Source organism: Homo sapiens, chromosome 17, assembly GCF_000001405.40.
Source record: "Homo sapiens chromosome 17, GRCh38.p14 Primary Assembly".
NCBI classification, from domain to species: Eukaryota; Metazoa; Chordata; class Mammalia; order Primates; family Hominidae; genus Homo; species Homo sapiens.
In genome coordinates, this window is record NC_000017.11 from 48069768 (window position 1) to 48091966 (window position 22199).

General features: G+C 45.0%; 1 protein-coding gene and 1 pseudogene across 2 annotated transcripts in view; both read right to left on the reverse strand.

The window, feature by feature from the left end:
- Positions 1 to 291: 291 nt before the first annotated feature.
- Positions 292 to 22199, reverse strand: part of CBX1 (chromobox 1) — a 31420-nt gene continuing 9512 nt past the window's right edge. For both annotated transcript variants that reach the window (NM_001127228.2, NM_006807.5), the window contains exons 2-5: positions 7098 to 7274; positions 6234 to 6411; positions 5239 to 5333; positions 292 to 1812 (exon numbers count right to left, since the gene is read on the reverse strand). In NM_001127228.2, the coding sequence (NP_001120700.1) occupies positions 1668 to 1812; positions 5239 to 5333; positions 6234 to 6411; positions 7098 to 7237 (558 nt within the window). In that variant the 5' untranslated portion in view covers positions 7238 to 7274 and the 3' untranslated portion in view covers positions 292 to 1667. The remainder of the gene's footprint in view (positions 1813 to 5238; positions 5334 to 6233; positions 6412 to 7097; positions 7275 to 22199) is intronic.
- Positions 18912 to 19017, reverse strand: RNU6-1201P (RNA, U6 small nuclear 1201, pseudogene; annotated as a pseudogene).

Sequence of the window (22199 nt, forward strand, 5' to 3'; positions counted from 1 at the left end):
TATACCATAGTTTGGAAGTGCTATCAGGTCAGAGTGCTCAATAAACTTTTGGCAGTACTGAAGACAGCATGATGCGACCATCTTTACAACCTCTGCAGCAACTGATAAATGCCCAGTAAGTATTTACTAAATTAACATGGTGTGACCACTTAAAGATTCAGGCCAGGCACTAGATTTTCAAGCCTACAGTGTTCAAGAAATAAAACCATTCAAGTGAGGAAGCCATTTCCAACAGGCTGAACCTATAAGGCAAGAAGGGTTCCTGGTAAGACTTAAGACAGAAATCAGGGATTATAAATCTATAGTTTTATTAAGACAAAAACTGACAATGTAGTATGAAGTTTACATTTAAACAAAGTTTACACAGAAATCTAACACATGCCTAAAAGAATTTTACAACGTAGCTCTAGATGCAAGTCTAGACAATATCAAGAACTGATGGTTCTCATGACTCAAGACAGAGCATTTTGGGTATGTTACTTATTAGGATTTCTTAAAAAATTGTTTTGTGTGTGTATGTGTGTGTTTTAAAGTGAACCACTGCCCAATATGAAAGTTTAATCTTCTCCTGAGACCAAGGCTTTTGAAATCACTAAACTCTTGGATCAATTCAGTGAAACTTGTGCTGTCAGTGACTGAACCCTGCCAACAATGGTTTCAGTGTTCAAAGCTCAAAGTAAACGGCTCCAAGAGTTTTCCCCACTAAGAGCATGGGCCCTTGTCTTTCCCTACTGTCTTACCTCCTCTACCACCCTCTTCCTCTTCCTAACACCTCAGCCAGTGGCTTGGATGAACAAGCTGATATTTATAACTTCGTTACTGGAAAAGAAAGGGTCTTCTAATTTCGGGAATTAGCACCTCTAAGGCAGAATGATCTGCTTGTACTGTATACTCTCCAATAAAAGACCTTCCCTCCTCGTCAATTTCCATCTCCAAAATGGCAACTTTGGTAACTTATGAACAGGCTTAGTCCTTTGTGGGAACAGCAATAAGTTTAGGCAGGGAACACCTTGGCTTATAGGTTTCAGACTTTCACAGCTTTTAAACAGTCTCTCACAGTCCTTATTTATGGTGCCAATGACATTTTTTTAAAGGTAAAATATTCTGGACATAGAAGCAAATCATTAGTTGTCTGTTCTTTTCCATTGCTTCACCATTTCCCCTATCAGGCCCCAAATGTTAATCAAAATGATGCTACCCATCTCCCTTTCTCCCCTCCCCATCCCTCCCTCCCCCAAATAATACACCAGTAATAGCCAAAAACTACACACATGCTACGCTGTAAAAATGCAGAGTTAACACTATTGGGAAGAAGGCTGTGGGTTGTGGAGATGCTCTTTGAAGATCTACAGTATTTTTTTGCTCTCCCACACACCCAATTCTGCAAGTTTTGTCCTTCATAGAAGGCCCTTTGCTTTTCGCAGCAAAGTGCAGAAAAGGTTGCCTTGAAACACTTATCCCCTTTCCCCTCCACTGGGATGGGTGTGCAAACTATACAGCTTGAAACGGCTTTAAAGCACTTGGGCTGCTGCAGGGCACAGAAACTATACTGGCTCTTCAAAGGACATCTTCTCAAGCCACCTCTATGGTGTCAAGACAAGTAGAACTCCTTCCCTTCCCACTTGAAACCCACAGTCAGATGTGACAGGGGCTGGTACTCAGGAGCGTTAGTTCTTGTCATCTTTTTTGTCATCATCCTCCGAGGGGTAGGAATGCCACGTCAGCCTTTCCTCATAGAAGGATATGACAACCTGTGGGCACTTGACATTGGCTTCCTTGGCAGGGACCAGGTCAGCCTCATCAGAGTTTTTCCTGCAGAATAAAGCAAAGAGAGACTTTGAGACCAGGTGCTGGTGGTCTATCCTAAGTTGGATAACCCAGGGGACAGTGCTTTAAAAATGGTAATTTTAGAAAAATAGGCTAGGGAACAATGAAAACGTGGCCCAAGCAGCATTTACTGGCAATTGTATGTCAAGTGACATCCTCAGAGTTAACTCTCCTGTTGAAAATTCCCTCTGGGGATTCGTGTATGTCAAAAGCCAGGTCAATGGACTTAACCAATCACATCTGAACATCTGGGCAAGGCCCCAAAAAGCATGACTCTCTAGATTCTCTGAGGGAAGAGAGGATACCTAGATTCTCTGAGGGAAGAGAAGTTACCACACTCCTCCAAAAGCCATATCCCAGCTGATAAGAACCCATGGAGAAATCTTGGCTTTGTAATAGGATTTTTTTTTTTTTTTTTTTGAGACAGAATCTCACTCTGTTGCCCAGCCTGGAGTGCAGTGGCATGATCTCGGATCACCACAACCTCCACCTCCTGGGTTCAAGCGATTTTCCTGCCTCAGCCTCCCCTAATAGCTGGAATTATAGGTGTGCGCCACCACACCCAGCTAATTTTTGTATTTTTAGTAGAGATGGGGTTTTGCCATCTCTACTAAAGATGTTGGCCAGGCTCATCTTGAACTCCTGACATCAGGTGATCCACCTGCCTCAGCCTCCCAAAGTGTTGGGATTACAGGCATGAGCCACCTCGCCCGGCCCGTAATAGGATTAAATACCACATCTGGCATTGGCCAGAGCAAATGAAGATGGACACTTTTTGCATAATCGTAATTACACTGACACTTCCAAATGCTATCCTCGCATAACTTCCAGGTGCTTTGAAATGATGTTTCAACATCGGGAGTAGAAAATGAGGGAGCTGTAGTTTTCTGAATTTTAAAATGTTTTCAAGTGGCTGGCCGCAGTGGCTCACACCTGTAATCCCAGCACTTTGGGAAGCCGAGGCAGGTGGATCACGAGGTCAGATCGAGACCATCCTGGCTAACACGGTGAAACCCTGTCTCTACTAAAAATACAAAAATTAGCCTGGTGTGGTGGCAGGCACCTGTAGTCCCAGCTACTTGGGAGGCTGAGGCAGGAGAATGGCGTGAAACTGGGAGGCAGAGCTTGCAGTGAGCCGAGATCATGCCACTGCACTCCAGCCTGGGCGACAGAGTGAGACTCTGTCTCAAAAAAAAAAAGTTTTCAAAATTTGAAAATCATACACATTATAAGGGAATTAGGAGTAAACTCTTAGGCAGGGAGCAGTAGCTCACGCCTATAATCCCAGCACTTTGGGAGGCCAAGGTGGGCAGGCCCAGGAGTTCAAGACCAGCCTGGTCAACATGGCAAAACCGTGTTGCTACTAAAAATACAAAAATTAGCCAGGCATGGTGGCGTGCGCCTGTAATCCCAACTATTCGGGAGGCTGAGGCACAAGAATCGCTTGAACCTGGGAGGTGGAGGTTGTAGTGAACAGAGATCGCCTCACTGCACTTCAGCCTGGGTGACAGAGCGAGACTCTGTCTCATTTAAAAAAAAAACAAACTCTTATCTTCAGGTTATTAGGAATGTCCTAGACAGAAGCAGTAGCGTAAAGCAAGCAGGAGACACCTGATGACATCTCTGACAAAGCACCACCCCAAATCTCTAGAACCTTAATAACAGGAAATCAGAGCCACATAGTCCCATAGAGCAGAAGAGTAAGCTGATAATGTATGTTTTTGAACAATGGACCCAAGAGAATGGGAGGGAAATGGGAATCTGAAGCATGCTGCCATTTGCTGACAGCTGAACAACACCCTCTGAGTTAAATTTAGTCATTTCACTCCCCAGAAATATTTACTACTTTTAGAAATATACAAAAATCTCTATTCTCCAGTAAAATAACTTTTTAAAATGTACTTTGTCTTATAATCAAATCCAGTTTTAACCTGTAGACAGCAGTGAGTCGGCCAGGTGCAGTGGCTCACGCCTGTAATCCTAGCACCTTGGGAGGCTGAGGTGGGTGGATCACCTGAGGTCAGGAGTTTGAGACCAGCCTGGCCAACATGGTGAAACCCCATCTCTATGAAAAATACAAAAATCAGCCAGGCGTGGTAGCACATGCCTGTAATCCCAGCTACTTGAGAGGCTGAGGCAGAAGAATCATTGAACCCGGAGGGGCGGAGGTTGCAGTGAGCTGAGATCGTGCCACTGCACTCCAGCCTGGGCGAAAGAGTGAGACTGTCTCAAAAAAAAAAAAAAAAAAAAAGACAGTAGTGAGTCAACCAAAGGAGTACAATCTTAAGCAATATGGAGATACTACTGTAACTCACACTGGTCACATGCAGAAAAAGTATATTCTAGCTAAACTGAGTAACTCACAGTATAACTTCTCCCACCCAATAAGCAGCATCTTAAAAATGAACTTTTCTCTTATAGGTTAACAATAAATCAGCTAAAAGAGGGGCAGCTCCAGTAACTGCCTAGGGAATACATAGAAGAGAATAGGTTAGTTAGTTGTGACTCTGGCTTTCAGTGGTGCTAAAGTTAGGCCCCTCCAGCCATACTGTAAAAGAGGATAATTAGTACAGACACGAGTTTCAGAGTAAGTTCTGGACTGACAAAAGGACAAAGCTCCATAGACTGTGTGTGTGTGTGTGTGTTTTAAAGGACAAAGTTTCTAGAATGCTGCCTTCATTGGCAATGGCTTAGAATTATTCCTTCCAAATTTTAAATACAATCATTGAGATCCACTTTGTGGGGAGAATGAGCAAGAAATAGGAAGAATGGCCTTCTTTTGACAGAGTAGGAAAATTACAGAGATTGTTGGGATAACTATCTTCATTAGGCTGTTTCATGGAGTATTACTATCACTGGTATTTATACTCATAATGGAAAAAAGCAGGCTTGCTCTATGCTTGATAGCAGTTAAGGAGCCTTGCTGACCCCTGCTGGCTGATCCTGTAATTGTAGAATCTGCACAAATTGAAAGGGATCCAACAATTAAGGACAAAAGGAAGAACTACAGATTCTTTCCTAACCCTGAGAATTTAGCAGAATTTCTGATTCTGGGGCCAGCCTCATCTTTATTAAGGAGGTGGTAGAAGGAGAGGGTGGTCCAATCACATTTCATTTTCTCCCCCTTTATTTACAGAAGTGAAATGTAATTCCTTCCCACACTCTTTCCACTCTAGATTGTCTCCCACCTCCTAAAAATATGGGCAAAGACCCAAGATTCCTAAGGGCTCCTACCTGTAACTCATGAGTCCAGGGTGGCAGTCAGGCCGAGGGTCACTATCGAAGGACTATGCCATCTTAACAATTTCACACTTGGGTGATTGGAATTTCGAAGGTCCAGCTCTTTTCCTCTGGCATGAAACCAATGGGAGAAGAAAAAAAACAACCACACAGAGCCACTGGCCGACTCACCATTTCATCAGGAACATGAGCTCTCCACTGGAGTCTGTAGCTCCAATAATCCGCTCCGGCTCCAAACCTCGAGCAAAGCCTCGTGGCTTTTCTGACTGTAAAAACAAGATGGGTAGAACAATTTTATCTATATGGGACTATTATCCAGACTGGAACCATTCCTGTGTCTCTGATTAATGTAATCACAAACTCTTTTTTTTTTTTTTTGAGACGGAATCTCACTCTGTCGCCCAGGCTGGAGTGCAGTGGTGCGATCTCGGCTCACTGCAGCCTCTGCCTCCCAGGTTCAAGTGATTCTCCTGCCTCAGCCTCCCAAGTAGCTGGGACCACAGGCACATGCCACCACGTCAGCTAATTTTTTGTATTTTTAGTAGAGACCCAGTTTCTCCGTGTTAGTCAGGATGGTCTTGATCTCCTGACCTTGTGATCCGCCCGCCTCGGCCTCCCAAGGGGCTGGGATTACAGGTGTGAGCCACCGTGCCCGGCCCAATCACAAACTCTTTTGCCAATATTTCACCAATACCTTGGCTCAAGTAAGAGAGCTGTTAGAATCCTTTGGAGTGATTATTCATCAATGTCTGAAGCGCATGAGATTTTCCCTATGTGAAAAGGGACATACAGCCCAAGCAAAATCAATGTTTACAACTATCTCTTCACTCTCAAAAAACAACTTACTTTAAGATACTGATTAAGTCAAAATAGCCACCTCACACCTTTAATGATTAAATATTGAAAACTATTTTTTACAAGAATGAATTCACTTGCCCTTATATCTGTCCCCAGCAAGTTTTCCATTTACTGCTCCTGTACCATGGATAAAAAGTAAGAGATCATGTGGCTTCATGACAGTACACTCTCACTTTGTAGGCATTAGCCTACCTAAGATTTCAGGACTAAGAAGAGACAGCTGCTAATATCAGGGAAGAAGCAGAACAAAACTACTTTGACAGTAGTTTGAATTGTGGGCTAGTAAAAATTCTTACTTCTATTCTTACCTCTTCTTTCTTCTTCTTTGGTTTGCTCTCCTCTCCCTTATCTTCAGAATCAGAATCAGCTTTGCGCTTGCCTCCCTCTGATTTATCTGTCTCATGTGCTGTTTTCTGTGACTGCAGAAACTCAGCAATGAGGTCGGGGCAATCCAGGTTCTCTTCTGGCTCCCATGTGTTGTCCTCACTGAAACCAGAGGGCACAGCAAGTCACACTTTCACTCAAATAAGTATACTCATACTAAGGATAATCGTAAGAGGACAAGACCTCAGATGTCTATGGAAAAGCTGAAATTCTTGGGGAATGGGGAAGCTTTTTAGTATAAATAGAAAGCTAAGAAACTGGCTTCCTTCAAAGGCAAATGACTTTTATTTGTCAATTTAAATTGGTCTGTAGCCACACACAAAACTGTTTCTCAGCAATCACTATGGGCTGGGTACAGTGGCTCATGCTTGTAGTCCCAACACTTTGGGAGGCCCAGGTGGGAGGACTGCTTGAGGCCAGGAGTTAAGAGACAAACCTGGGCAACTAAGCGAGACATGGTGGTGCATGCCTGTGGTACCAGCTACTTAGAAGGCTGAGGTGGGAGGATACCTTGAGCCTGGGAGGTTGAGGCTGCAGCGAGCTATGACTGCACCACTGTACTCCAGCCTGGGTGACAGAGCGAGACCTCGTCTCAAAAGAAATAATTTTTAAAAAGAAGTCATTCTGCTTTGTATTATAAGCAGTAGGCCATATTCCTAATTAAACAATAAGCCATGAAGGTGGGGACTGAGTCACACTGTATCCATCATAGCACTGGAGGTCTCATACATCTCTAGACTCCTGATAAACACGTGGTGGCTACATTTACCTGTGTCAGTGAAACTTACTCTGAGAATCCCTTCCACTTTAGGAGGTACTCCACTTTGCCCTTTACCACTCGACGGTCGAGAACTTTTTCCACCACATATTCCTCTTCCTCCTCTTCTAGCACCTCCTCCACTTTCTTCTTGTTTTGTTTTTTCCCCATAGTGCCCGCCAGCTTTCTGGTGTAAAGGGTGACGCTGCTAAAATGATAAATGAAATAAAAAGGGCATTAGGGAGCACTCTTATTGGTTAGATAATATCTGGATGGTAAGAAAACCAGGGACATGACAGGTGATAATATTGTATGCTGCTTATAGTAAGTGTTAGGCTTCTTCTCACACTCGATACAAAATAGTTTTCTGATATGTCCAGCCAGAAAGCTCATAAAACAGCCCCAATTAATCTTACAGCAAACTTTTTTTTTTTTTTTGAGAGACGGAGTCTTGCTCTGTTGCCCAGGCTGGAGTGCAAAGTGGCGCAATCTCGGCTTACTGCAACCTCCGCCTCCTGGGTTCAAGCGATTCTCCTGCCTCAGCTTCCCAAGCAGCTGGGACTACAGGCGTGTGCCACCAAGCCCAGCTAATTTTTGTTGTTTTTTTTTTTGTTTTTTTTGTTTTTTTTTTTTTAGTAGAGACGGGATTTCACTATGTGTTGGCCAGGTTGGTCTCGAACTCCTGACCTCAGGTGATCCACCTGCCTCGGCCTCCCAAAGTGTTGGAATTACAGGCATGAGCCACCACGCCTGGCCTTCACAGCAAACTTCTTTATTCTTGTGTATCCATTTAAAACTTTTATACCCATTCTTGGTAATTTTAAAAGGCTCCCAATACTCCTTTTACCATAAAGCATGGTAGCTAGGGCCAGGCGTGCAGGCTCACATCTGCAATCCCAGCATTTTGGAAGGCCCAAGTGGGAGAATTCCTGAAGCCCAGTAGTGTGTGACCAGCCTAGGCAACACAGCAAGACTCCATCTTCACAAAAAAACCGTTGTAAAAGAGCACGGTAGCTAAAATATTGCATTAAATTGAAAGGCTGGGTGCAGTGGCTCACACCTATAATTCTAGCACTTTGGGAGGCCGAGGCGGGCAGATCACCTGAGGTCAGGGGTTCAAGACCATCCTGGCCAACATGGCGAGACCCTGTCCCTACTAAAAATACAAAAATTAGCCAGTCGTGAGCCAAGATCGCACGACTGTACTCCAGCCTGGGCAACAGAGTGAGACACTGTCTCAAAAAAAAAAGAAAAGCAGTCCTCCTAAAAATGTGCACATATCAATAAAACTTACATATTACTCTCTGACTCATACTTTCTCCTATTCCAAGTTTTCCTTTTCATCAAAGTACTGGATTTGAATTTGTTTTTTTTTTTTGAGATGGAGTCTTGCTCTGCCCCCAGGCTGGAGTGCAGTGGTGCAATCTCAGCTCACTGCAAGCTCCGCCTCCTGGGTTCACACCATTTTCCTGCCTCAGCCTCCTGAGTAGCTGTGACTACCGGCGCCCGCCACCACGCCCAGCTAATTTTTTGTATTTTTAGTAGAGACGGGGTTTCACCATGTTAGCCAGGATGGTCTCGATCTCCTGACCTCATGATCCGCCTGCCTCGGCCTCCCAAAGTGCTGGGATTACAGAGCTGAGCCACCATGCCCAGTCTGTTTTTGTCTTTTTGAGACGGAGTCTCAACTCTGTGAGCTGGGCTGGAGTGCAATGGTGTGATCTCAATTTACTGCAACCTCTGCCTCCCGGGTTCAAGCGATTCTCCTGCCTCCACCTCCCGAGTAGTTGGTTTTACAGGTGCCCGCCATTACGCCTGGCTAATTTCTATATTTTTAGAAGAGACGGGGTTTAACCACGTTGGCCAGGCTGGTCTTCAACTCCTGACCTCGTGATTTGCCTGCCTTGGCTTTCCAAAGTGCTGGGATTACAAGCGTGAGCCACCGTGCCTGGACTTTTTTTTTTTTTTTTTTTTTTGAGACGGAGTCTCACTCCAGCCCAGGCTGGAGTGCAGTGGCACAATCTCGGCTCACTGCAACCTCTGCCTCCCGGGTTCAAGTGATTCTCCTGTCTCAGCCTCCTGAGTAGCTGGGACTACAGGTGTGAGCTACCACGCCCGGCTAATTTTTGTATTTTTAGCAGAGACAGGGTTTCACCAACGTTGGTCAAGCTGCCAGGCTGGTCTCAAACTCGTGACTTCGTGATTCACCCGTGCTGGCCTCCCAAAGTGCTGGGATTACAGGCGTGAGCCACCGAACCCAGCTCCAGCCCCGGCCCCGCACCTCCCCCTCTTTGAGATGGAGTCTCACTCCAGCCGGGCTGGAGTGCAGTGGCACAGTCTTGGCTCACTGCAACCTCCGCCACCTGGGTTCAAGTGATTCTTTTGCCTCAGCCTCCTGAGTAGCTGGGACTACAGGTGTGTGCCACCATGCCCAGCTAGTTTTTGTTTTTTTAGTAGAGACAGGGATTCGCCATGTTGGCCAAGCTGGTCTCGAACTCCTGACCTCAAGTGATCCACCCGCCATGGCCTCCCAAAGTGCTGGGATTACAGGCATGAGCCACTGTGCCCAGCCATGTTCTCTTGTTCTTTATGCAGTCTTTTCTGAATTGAACTTACGATTCACAAATTTCTTGTTAACTTATTGTATTTAGTTTATTTTACAACTTTTTTTCTTTTTTGAGACAGTGTCTCACTCTATCACCTAGGATGGAATGCAGTGAAGTAATTATGGCTCATTGCAGCTTTGACCTCCTGGGCTCAAGTGATCCCGCTGCCTCAGTCTCCTGAGTAGCTGGAACCACAGGTGTGCGCCACCATGCCTGGCTAATTTTTTAAATTTTTAGTAGAGACAAGTTCTCAATATGTTGCCCAGGCTTGTTTCAAACTCCCAGGCTCAAGTGATCCTCCCACCTCAGCCTCCTACTGGGATTACAGACATAAGCCATCACACCTGGCCTCCAATTTATTTCTAAAAACTAAGGAAGAGTCATAAAAATGCCAGAATGATCATGAAATTCTCTAAACTGGAACCCTGTAAAAATTTGGAAAACAAGTGTGGGGAAAACAGAACTGTAGTTATCAAAGATAATAGAATCTGAGTTTACTCCTTTATAAAATACATCATCAAGCTAGGTAACATCTAAGGGTTTTTCCAGTGTTGAAATTTTAGTCCCTTATAAATCTATTTTATTTAGTCCTTCATCCAAATTTGACTTTTTTGGGGGAGGGGGACACAGTCTCCCTCTGTCGCCCAGGCTGCAGTGCAATGGTGCTATCTCGGCTCACCTACGCCTCTAGGGTTCAAGTGATTCTCATGCCTCAGCCTCCTGAGTAGCTAGGACTACAGGCACCTGCCACCAGGCCCAGTTGATTTTTGTATATTTAGTAGAGATGGGGTTTCAGCATGTTGGCCAGGCTGGTCTCGAACTCCTGACCTCAAGTGATCTGCCCGTTTTGGTTTCCCAAAACTCTGGAATTAACAGGCATGAGCTACCGTGCCCGGACCCAACTCTTTGACTTCTGACAGACTTAAAGCCTTATGATTACCAATTTTTGTCAGTAGATGGCACTGTATCAATGAAACAAAATTGATCAACAAAACTGGCCAAAGAATTACCTGGATGGCAGGTAATCCAAGACAAGGAAGAGTTACGTCTCCGCTTGAGTTTAAAATAATACCAATTTGAGGTTAAACTGGTTATTCCTAGCATCCTTAGGAAAGGAAGCTTACTTAGTGTAATCATTAAGTTTTCTAAACACTGTAAAACTGGCATGTATAGACAGAATGCACTTAGAGTCCATCTACAAGGCTGGGTGCGGTGGTTCACGCCTGTAATCCCAGCACTTTGGGAGACTGAGGCAGGCAGATCACAAGGTCAGGAGTTCGAGACCAGCTTGGCCAATATGGCGAAACCCCATCTCTACTAAAAGTATAAAAATTAGCTGGGTATGGTGGCGCTCGCCTGTAGTGCCAGCTACTCGGGAGGCTGAGGCAGGAGAATTGCTTGAACCCGGGAGGCGGAGGTTGCAGTGAGCCGAGATCGCGCCACTGCACTCCAGCCTGGTGACAGAGCGAGACTCCATCTCAAAAAAAAAAAAAAAAAAAAAAAAAAAAAAAAATATATATATATATATATATATATATATATATATATATATATAAAATTTGTCTTAGAAAAATAAATAGCATTTCTTTTTGAAAAGTTTAATCTATTTATTTGCTTATTTAGAGACCAGGTTATGAGACTGCCTAATTTTTGTATTTTCGGTAGAGAAGGGTTTTTGCCATGTTGCCAATGCTGGTCTTGAACCCCTGGGCTCAAGCGATCCACCTGCCTTGACCTCCCAAAGTGCTGGGATTACTGGCATGAGATCTGGCCAAAAAATAAAACAGCACTGACTATTATCCACCTGATCCTTCTGCTATGAGCCGAAAGGGTCAGCATAGCTTCTAACTGATCTCTACCTACTGCAAGCTTATCCTCCCTTTATCATTAATTAGCATGGCCTCAGAGAGGAACAGTCATAGAATGGCATAATTGTTAGGTAAAGAAAGCGCCCAAATGGGGAAATCTAAAGTAAAGCATTCTCATGACTTCGATCTTTACTCACTTTTATTTTTTGAGACAGAGTTTCGCTCTTGTCGCCCAGGCTGGAGTGCAATGGAGCACTCTCAGCTCACTGCAACCTTCACCTCCTGAGTTCAAGCGATTCTCCTGTCTCAGCCTCTCAAAGAGCTAGGATTACAGGCGCTCACCACCATGCCCAGCTAATTTTTTTAATACTCTTAGTAGAGACAAGATTTCACCATGTTGGCCAGGCTGGTCTCGAACTCCTGACCTCAGGTGATCTGCCTGCCTCGGCCTCCCAAAGTGCTGGGATTACAGGCCTAAGCCACTGAGCCTGGCCCTTTCCTTACTTTTTAAGTACTGTCTTAAGAGCAACTCAAATAAGAAGAATATAGAAAACAGATCCCCGCTTCTTCCTGAGCTTTCTTTACTGGCTCATCCCAGAGCATCTACATCCAGAGATACTGTATTACTGGAGATTCCCAGCCAGCCTTCCCAACGTGTTTTTTTGTTTACAATTAGTTCTCTAGGGTTTCAAGAAAGCTATTTGTCAAAATCAGTAGAGAGGTCAGGGCTCGGCAGCACACACCTGTAATTCCAGCACTTTGGAAGGCCTAGGCAGAAGGACTGCTTGAGCCCAGGAGTTTGAGACCAGCCTGGGCAACGTAGTGAGACCCCATCTCTACAAAAAATAATCAGCTGGGTGTGCTGGGAGGATCGCTTAAGCACAGGAGGTTGAGGCTGCTGTGAGCTGTGATTGTGCCACTGCACTCCAGCCTGGGTGAGGAAGCAAGACTGTCTTTAAAAAAATGATAAAGAGGCTGGGCGTGGTGGCTCACACCTGTAATCCCAGCACTTTGGGAGGCTGAGGTGGGCAGATCACGAGGTCAGGAGATCGAGCCCATCCTGGCTAACACGGTGAAACCCCATCTCTACTAAAAATACAAAAAATTAGCTGGGTGTGATGGCGGGCACCTGTAATCCCAGCCACTCGGGAGGCTGAGGCAGGAGAATGGCGTGAACTCGGGTAGCGGAGCTTGCAGTGAGCCGAGATCATGCCACTGCACTCCAGCCTGGGGGACAGAGCGAGACTCCATCTCAAAAAAAAAAAAAAAAAAAAAAAAGGAAAAATGATCTATAATTTTATTTATTTTTTTGAGATGGAGTCTCTGTCGCCCAGGCTGGAGTGCAGTGACGCAATATCAGTTCACTGCAACCTCCACCTCCCAGGTTCAAATGATCCTCTTCCTTAGCCTCCCGAGTAGCTGGGACTACAGATGCACACCACCACTCCTGGCTAATTTTTTTGTATTTTTAGTAAAGACGTGGTTTCACCATGTTGGCCAGGCTGGTCTCAAACGCTTGACCTCAAGTAATCCGCCCACCTCAGCCTCCCAAAGTGCTGGGATTACAGGCGTAAGCCACTGTGCCAGGTAATTTTATTTTTTTTTAATGACACAATTATCTTTTTTTTTTTTTTTTGAGACGGAATTTCGCTCTTGTCACCCAGGCTGGAGTGCAACAACGCGATCTCAGCTCACCACCACCTCGGCTTCCCAGGTTCAAGCGATTCTCCTGCCTCAGCCTCCCAAGTAGCTGGGATTATTGGCATGCACCACCATGCCCAGCTAATTTTGTATCTTTAGTAGAGACAGAGTTTCTCCATGTTGGTCAGGCTGGTCTTGAACTCCCAACCTCAGGTGATCTGCCTGCCTCAGCCTCCCAAAGTGCTGGGATTACAGGAATGAGCCACTGCACCTGGCCTAATTTTTATTTATTTATTTATTTTTTAAAGACAGGGTTTCACTATGTCACCCAGGCTGTTCTTGAACTCCTGGACTCCAGTGATCCTCCCGCCTCAGCCTCCCAAAGTGCTGGGATTACATGTGTAAGCCATCATGCCTGGTCAATTACCACTTTGTAAATTCCACCTGCACCCCTATTGTCAGGGGTACCTAGTGGCCTTTCCAGAATCCTGTGACACAAACTGGTTTGTTGTACCTTCTTGGCTCTTCCTAAATCCAGTCCTACTTAATTTTTAGCTTTTTCTGGTCAGTAACTAGTTTTCCAGCTGTTTTCTGACATCTCTACTTGTCTTTTTCCTATTTTTCTTGTCTCTTTAAAAATCTTCTTATTGGCCAGGTGGCGTGGTGGCTCACGCCTGTAATCCCAGTAATTTGGGAGGCCGAGGTGAGCGGATCACTTGAGGTCAGGAGTTCGAGACCAGCCTGACCAACATGGTGATACCCTGTCTCTGCTAAAAATCCAAAAAATTAGCTGGGTGTGGTGGTGGGCGCCTGTAATCCCAGCTACTTGGAAGGCTGAGGCAGGAGAATCGCTGGAACCTGGGAGGCAGAGGTTACAGTGAGCCGAGATTGCGCCATTGCACTCCAGCCTGGGCGACAAAAGCGAAACTCCATCCCCCCTCCAAAAAAAAAATCCTTTGACCATTACTTGTGTGAGATTTTCAAAAGGAGTAGAACCATGTAGTTCAACCAGCCATGTTTATCTGCAAAGTTTCACTGAAGTATCTAATAATAGTGAGTGCTTATTATGTGCCAGGTACTATTACAAACACTTTACTCATTTATTTAAAAAATTTTGTTTAGACACAGGGTGTCGCTCTGTTGCCCAGTACGGTGGCCTGATCATAACTCACTGCAGCCTCGACCTCCTGGGCTCAAGCCATCCTCCCAAGTAGCTGGGACTACAGGCTTGTACCACCAAACCTGGCTAATTTTTTCAATTTTTTCTGGTGGAGACAAGGTGTTCCTATGTTGTTCAGGCTTCTCTTTCTTTCCTTTTTTTTTTTTTTTTTTTTTTTTTTTGAGACGGAGTCTTGCTCTGTTACCCAGGCTGGAGTGCAGTGGTGCTAATCATCATGCTCACTGAACCTCCGCCTCCAGAGTTCAAGCGATTCTCCTGCCTCAGCCTCCTGAGTAGCTGGGATTACAGGTGCGTGCCACCACACCCAGCTAATTTTTGTATTTTTAGTAGAGACAGGTCGCCATGTTGCTCAGCCTGGTCTCCAACTCCTGACCTCGTGATCCACCCGCCTCAGCCTCCCAAAGTGCTGGGATAACAGGCGTGAGCCACTGTGCCGGGCGCCAAGCTTCTGTTAAACTCCTGGCCTCACACAATTCTCTCGCTTTGGCCTCCCCAAGTGTTGGGATTACAGGCATGAACCATGGCGCCCTGCCTACTCATTTATTATTTACAATACTCCCGGCCGGGCATGGTGGCTCACGCCTGTAATCCCAGCACTTTGGGAGGCTGAGGTGGGTGGATCATGAGGTCAGGAGATCGAGACCATCCTGGCTAACATGGTGAAACCCCGTCTCTACTAAATGTACAAAAAATTAGCTGGGCGTGATGGCGGGCACCTGTAGTCCCAGCTACTTGGGAGGCTGAGGCAGGAGAATGGTGTGAACCCAGGAGACGGAGCTTGCAGTGAGCCGAGATCGCGCCACTGCACTCCAGCCTGGGCGACAGAGCGAGACTCCGTCTCACAAAAAAAAACAAAAAAAAACCAATACTCTCAAGAGTTACTAGTTGAAGCTAGTAACTGAGTTGACTGGACTACAAATAGGGGAGTATGGTTTTACAGTATGTACTCAAACCTCAGTTTGAGATCCTCAGTTGTCCTACTTAGCCAACTCGTATGGTTTATATCACAATATTGTAAACAAAGAAATCTAGCATTGCCATAATTTTTACCTAAACATTTGCTGAGTCTGCTACATTTGAAGATTCCTAGAAAAATAATACTTTACATTTGCATTATACTTTACAGTTTACAAAGTGCTACCACATTATCTCATTTAATCTTCAAAACCATCCTGTGAGATAAGCCATTCAGATGTTATCTCTGCCTCACAAATAGACCAAATTTAGATGAAATAGATCACCTAAGGTCACACAATTAAACGAAGCACTGCACTTCAGTAAGGCCATCTAGCAAGGCTAGGCTAAATGCCCTGTTGAACACATAAAACTAGCAGCTAGCCAAAAACCTACAGGGTAACATCCCTCCAGCCTGTATAAGGAAAGGACACAGAGGTCTCTTAAGATGACTCCTCCCTACAATTTGTCACTGGTAAATAAGAAAGTGACTGGTAATGATTTTTCTCAGAAAAGACCTTGAAAGGTATGGCTCTGTTAAAAAAAAAAAAACAATGATTTTTAATTGGTTTCTGGAATATGAAGGTATTCATTGTTTATTAAACCTGCAGACAGAAACAAAGCTGGGTTTTTAATGCCCCAGCAGTCTTTTGAGTCTTTTAAATTGACAAGTGCTACATAGTGTAGAATTTTTTAAGTTAAACATCTAGCAAGCAGACTAGAGAGAGAACTACTGAGAAAATGTCAATTTTAAGAAACCAGGCCAGGCGCGGTGGCTCACGCCTATAATCCCAGCACTCTGGGAGGCTGAGGAGGGCAGAATCACCTAAGGTCAGGAGTTCAAGAAAAACCTGGCCAACGTGGCGAAACCTCGTCTCTACTAAAAATACAAAAAAAATAGGCTGGTCACGGTGGCATGCACCTGTAGTCCCAGTTACTCGAGAGATTAAGGCATGAGAATTGCTTGAACTCAGGCGGCAGACATTGGCAGTGAGCCAAAATCACGCCACTGCACTCCAGCCTGGGTGACACAGCGAGACTCTGTCTCAATAAAAAACAAAACAAAACAAAAAAAACCCAAAACTTGTTTACAGTGTCCCAAGGAATCCAGGAACAGTGTAAATCTGAATCAAGAGTAATTAATTCATAGCTCAATTTTAAGAGAAAGAGTACTGTTGTGATTTTCCTCACCCACCCTCCACCCCTGCACTGAGGAGCTAGAAAATGTAAAGAAGCAACAATGCTACTTGACTGCAGAAGGCAGTAACATAACAGACACAAGCTTAGGCATTTCATTTTGGTTTGAAATAGTTTGTACTGTGAAAGGGTACGAGAAGGCTTCAAGAAGCCAGTATGGCCACAGCTCTTGGCTGCCACCATAAACATGAACTATGAAGTGCTATGCTAGGAACTTCCACGATTCTGATTTCTTGCCAGTTTGAAAAACCAAATTATAAATGTGAGGCCATGGTAACACCTACAGACCTAAGAAACTAAACCAGTAGGGTTTCTAGCTAAATGCCAAGGTGAGGCATTTAAAATGTTGGTCAGGGCTGGGCATGATGGCTCACACCTGTAATCCCAGCACTTTGGGAGGCTGAGGCAGGCAAATTACCTGAGATCAGGAGTTTGAGACCAGCCTGGCCAACATGGTGAAACCCTGTCTCTACTAAAAAATACAAAAATTAGCTGGGCGTGGTCGTGCACATCTGTAATCACAGCTACTTGGGAGCCTGAGGCAGGAGAATCACTTGACTTCAACCCAGAAGGCGGAGGCTGCCTTGAGCCTAGATCACACCACTGCACTCCAGCCTGGGCTATAGAGTGAGACTTCGTCTCAAAAAAAAGAAAACGAAAAAGAAAAAAACAATAAATAAACAAAAATGGCCGGGCGCGGTGGCTCACGCCTGTAATTCCAGCACTTTGGGAGGCAGAGGTGGGCAGATCACAAGGTCAGGAGATCAAGACCATCCTGGCTAACATGGTGAAACCCCATCTCTACTAAAAATACAAAAAATTAGCTGGGCGTGGTGGCGGGTGCCTGTAGTCCCAGCTACTCAGGAGGCTGAGGCAGGAGAATCAGTTGAACCTGGGAAGCAGAGGTTGCAGTGAGCCCAGATCGCACCATTGCACTCTAGCCTGGGCAACAGAGTAAGACGCCATCTCAAAAAAAAAAAAAGAAAAGAATTCAGAGGAAAGCGAACTCTGAGTCAAGAACCTTCACCTCTATGAGAATCAGAATCACCTATGGAGTTTAGAAATACAGATGCCTGCCTGGGTGTGATAGCTCACGCCTGTAATCCCACCACTTTGGGAGGCGAGGTGGGTGGATCACGAGGTCAGGAGTTGAGATCGGCCTGGCCAACATGGTGAAACCCCAGTCTCTACTAAAAATACAAAAATTAGCTGGGCGTGGTGGTGTGCACCTGTAATCCCAGCTACTCAGGAGGCTGAGGCAGGAGAATAGCTTGAACCCGGGAGGCGGAGGTTGCAGTAAGCCAAGATCATGCCATTGCACTCCAGCCTGGGCAACAGAGTGAGACTCCATCTCAAAAAAAATTTAAAAAAAGGCTGGGCGCAGTGGCTCATGCCTGTAACCCCAACACTTTGGGAGGTCAAGGCAGGCAGATCACTAGGTCATGAGATCGAGACCTTCCTGGCCAACATGGCAAAACCCTGTCTCTAGTAAAAACACAAAAATTGGCCGGGCATAGTGGCACACGCATGTAGTCCTAGCTACTTGGGAGGCTGAGGCAGGAGAATCACTTGAACCGGGGAATCAGAGGTTGCAGTGAGCTGAGATTGTACCACTGCACTCCAGAGCCTGGCAACAGAGCGAGACTCAGTCTCAAAAAAAAAAAAAAAAAAGAAAACAGAAAAAAGAAGAAATACAGATGCCTAGACCCCACTCCACAGCGAATACATGAGGAAGTGGTGTTTTTAAAGCAGTTAATTTTTTCTAATTAAAATCATATATTAACATTCAATTACAAAAATATATAACGTGGCCAGGCGCAGTGGCTCACGCCTGTAATCCCAGAACTTTGGAAGGCCAAGGCGGGCGGATCACAAGGTCAGGAGTTTGAGACCAGCCTGGCCAACATAGTGAAACCCCCATCTCTACTAAAAATACAAAAAATTACCTGGGCGTGGTGGCAGGCGCCTGTAATCCTAGCTACTTGGGAGGCAGAGGCAGAAGAATTGCTACAACCTGGGAGGTGGAGGTTACAGTGTGCCAAGATCGCGCCACTGCACTCCAGCCTGGGAGACAGTGTGAGCCTCCGTCTGAAAAAAAAAAAAAATTTATTTTTCTTGTTGCCAGGTGCGGTGGCTCACGCCTATAATCCCAGCACTTTGGGAGGTCGAGGTGGGTGGATCACGAGGTCAGGAGTTCGAGACCAGCCTGACCAACATGGTGAAACCCCATCTCTACTAAAAATACAAAAATTAGCCGGGCGTGGTGGCGCATGCCTGTAATCCCAGCTATTCAGGAGGCTGAGGCAGGAAAATCGCTTGAACCCGGGAGGCGGATGTTGCAGTGAGCCAAGATCACGCCACTGCACTCCAGCCTGGGCGACAAAGCGAGACTCCATCTCAAAATAAATAAATAAATAAATAAAAATTTCTTACTTTTGATTTTTTTAAAAAAATACTTAAAAATATGGACTGCTTCATGAATTTGTGTGTCGTCTTTGCATAGGGGCCATGCTAATCTTCTCTGTATCGTTCCAATTTTAGTACATGTGCTGCTTAAGCAAGCACCAGTTTACCATTTTATACAATGCAATGTATCTTTGACATTATTCCATAAAGATCTCCATCCCTAACAGCTGCCATAGTATTCCATTGTATGGTTTCCTTTATTATAATGAAGAATGCTGTTTTGACATTGGCAGCGAGCCAAAATCACACCACTGCACTCCAGCCTGGGCGACACAGCAAGACTGTCTCAATAAAACACAAAACAAAACAAAAAACCCCAAAACTTGTTTATAGTATCCCAAGGAATCCAGGAACAGCATAAATCTGAATCAAGAGTAATTAATTCATAGCTCAATTTTAAAAGCTGGCATCTGCATCTTTTTTTTTTTTTTTTGAGACAGAGTCTCACTCAGTCGCCCAGGCTGGAGTGCAGTGGTGTGATCTCGGCTCACTGAAAGCTCCACCTCCCAGGTTCACGCCATTCTCCTGCCTCAGCCTCCCCAGTAGCTGGGACTACATGTGCCTGCCACCACGCCCGGCTAATTTTTTTGTATTTTTAGTAGAGAGAGGGTTTCACTGTGTTAGCCAGGATGGTCTCTATCTCCTGACCTCGTGATCCGCCCATCTCGGCCTCCAACAGTGCTGGAATTACAGGCATGAGCCACCGCGCCTGGCCAGGCATCTGCATCTTTCAAAGCTCCACAGGTGATTTTGATGAACATTCTTGGATAAAAGCTACTGCTGTAAGAGGATTGGCAAAAACCATATTCCTCAAGTGAAATTACACACATTACTGCAGACATAAATCAGTTCTCGGGGCCCAGCACGGTGGCTCACGCCTGTAACCCCAGCACTTTGGGAGGCCGAGGTGGGCGGATCACCTGAGGTCAAGAGTTTGATACCAGCTTGACCTACATGGTGAGAGCCCATCCCTACTAAAAATACAAAATTAGCTGGGCGTGGTGGCACATATCTGTAATCCCAGCTACTCGGGAGGCTGAGGCAGGAGAATCACTTGAACCCGGGAGGTGGAGGTTGTAGTGGGCCGAGATCGTGTCACTGCACTCTAGCCTGGGCAACAAGAGTGAAACTCTGTCTCTAAATAAATAAATAAATGGCAAAAGGAATTTACCTTCCAAGGAGTAAAGAAAGGAAGTAAATTCTGGATACAAACAGAAAATTTTAACGAAATTTATTTGTGACTTTTTTTTTTTGAGATGGAGTCTGGCTCTGTCACCCAGGCTGGAGTGCAGTGGCATGATCTCGGCTCACTGCAACCTCCGCCTCCTGGGTTCAAGCAATTCTCCTGCCTCAGCCTTCCAGGGCGTGCACCACCACCCCTGGCTAATTTTTGTATTTTTAGTAGAGATGGAGTTTCATCATGTTGGCCAGGGTGGTCTCGATCTCGACCTCATGATCTGCCCACCTCAGCCTCCCAAAGTGCTGGGATTACAGGCACGAGTCACTGCGCCCGGCTATTTGTGACAAAAATTTTAAGATTTCTGATGACCTATGTAAGTACAAAAATCAGTTTTGGTAATCCACACAGTAAAGTTCCTTAAGAAACTTTGAAGATTGTGATTTCAACCTCAGTTTTTATTTACATGTATATATTTTTTTCTAGCCAATCACCCAATTAAATAAACAGTCTCAGAATTCATATAGCTTTTGCTGTACTCAAGACAAAAATATGGGAATCAGCTCTGATTCCTCATCCTCCATATCCAGTCTCTCACTAAATCCTGGTAATTTTATATCTTAAATATCTTCCAATTCATACTTTTTTCCAGCCCCACTGCTGCTGCTCTATTCGAAGCCACCATCATCTCTTGCAATGGGTAACTCCTGATCCAATTCATTTTCAACACTAGCCAGTGATTTCAAAATGAAAATCTATCTCTTCACATCATTATCTGTGGGCATTTGAGCTGAAGGCCCCTGCACCTACACCTATCAATCATCATTACCTTGCGCTTTGCCCAACTTTTCACTTAACCAATTTCCTTAGCTTAAATGTCACTTCCTTAGAATTCCTTCCCTAGAGCCCCAGACTGGGTTAACTCTGTATGAACATGCTCCTATTGTATTCATTCACATAACAATTATCTACTGGGCACCTATTACGTGTAAGGTGCTGGAAAAATGGGGTAGACAAGACAGACAAAATCCTTGATCTCTTAGACCTTATTATTCTAGTGCAGACAAGTGAGTGAGCACTATTGAGTGTGTGCACACATGTGTTTGCAAAGCATGGCACAGACAATAAACAAGAAAATATTACTGATAAATGTTACAAAGCAAATTTCTTTAGAATAACATTTAAACAGAAACCCGAACTACAAGGAGACAACTCAGCCAAAATAAGAAAAGCACTCCAAGGTTAGGGAATAGTTGGTTTGAAAGTCCTAAGGTGAGAATGAGCTTGCTTTATCTGAGGAAAAGAAACATGGCCAGGTGGAAAGACCTCGACTAGACTGAGGGAATGGGAGGCACGGAGAAGATGACAATTATTTTGCATATCACTTCTTACTTCATTCCTTTTTCCATCTAGTTCTTTTTACCATTCCATTTTCTTTCCCCCTCTTTTAACCCGTTTAGGTTGAAGATCTAGTCAGTTAATGGCTATCAAAGTTCATAACTGCAGATCTTCTAGCTTTTTTTTTTTTAAGATGGAATTTTACTCTTGTTGCCCAGGCAGGAATGAAGTGGTGTGATATCGGCTCACTTTAGAACTCCGCCTCTGGGGTTCAACCGATTCTCCTGCCTCAGCCTCCCAAGTAGCTGGGATTACAGGTGCCCGCCACCATGCCCTTTTTTTTTTTTTTTTTTTTTTTTTGAGACAGAGTCTCACTCTTGCCCAGGCTAGAATGCGGGGGCATGATCTTGGCTCACCGCAACTTCTGCCTCCAGGGTTCAAGTGCTTCTCCTGTCTCAGCCCCACCAAATAGCTGGAATTACAAGCACGCGCCACCATGCCCAGCTAATTTTTTGAATTTTTAGTAGAGACGGGGTTTTACCATGTTGGCCAGGCTGGTCTCAAACTCCTGACCTCAGGTGATCCACCAGCCTCAGCCTCCCAAAGTGCTGGCATTACAGGCGTGAGCCACCACACCAGGCCTAATTTTTGTATTTTTAGTAGAGAGGGGGTTTCACCATGTTGGCCAGGCTGGTCTCGAACTCCTGACCTCAGGTGATCCACTCACCTCGACCACTCAAAGTACTCAGGTTACAGGCGTGAGCCA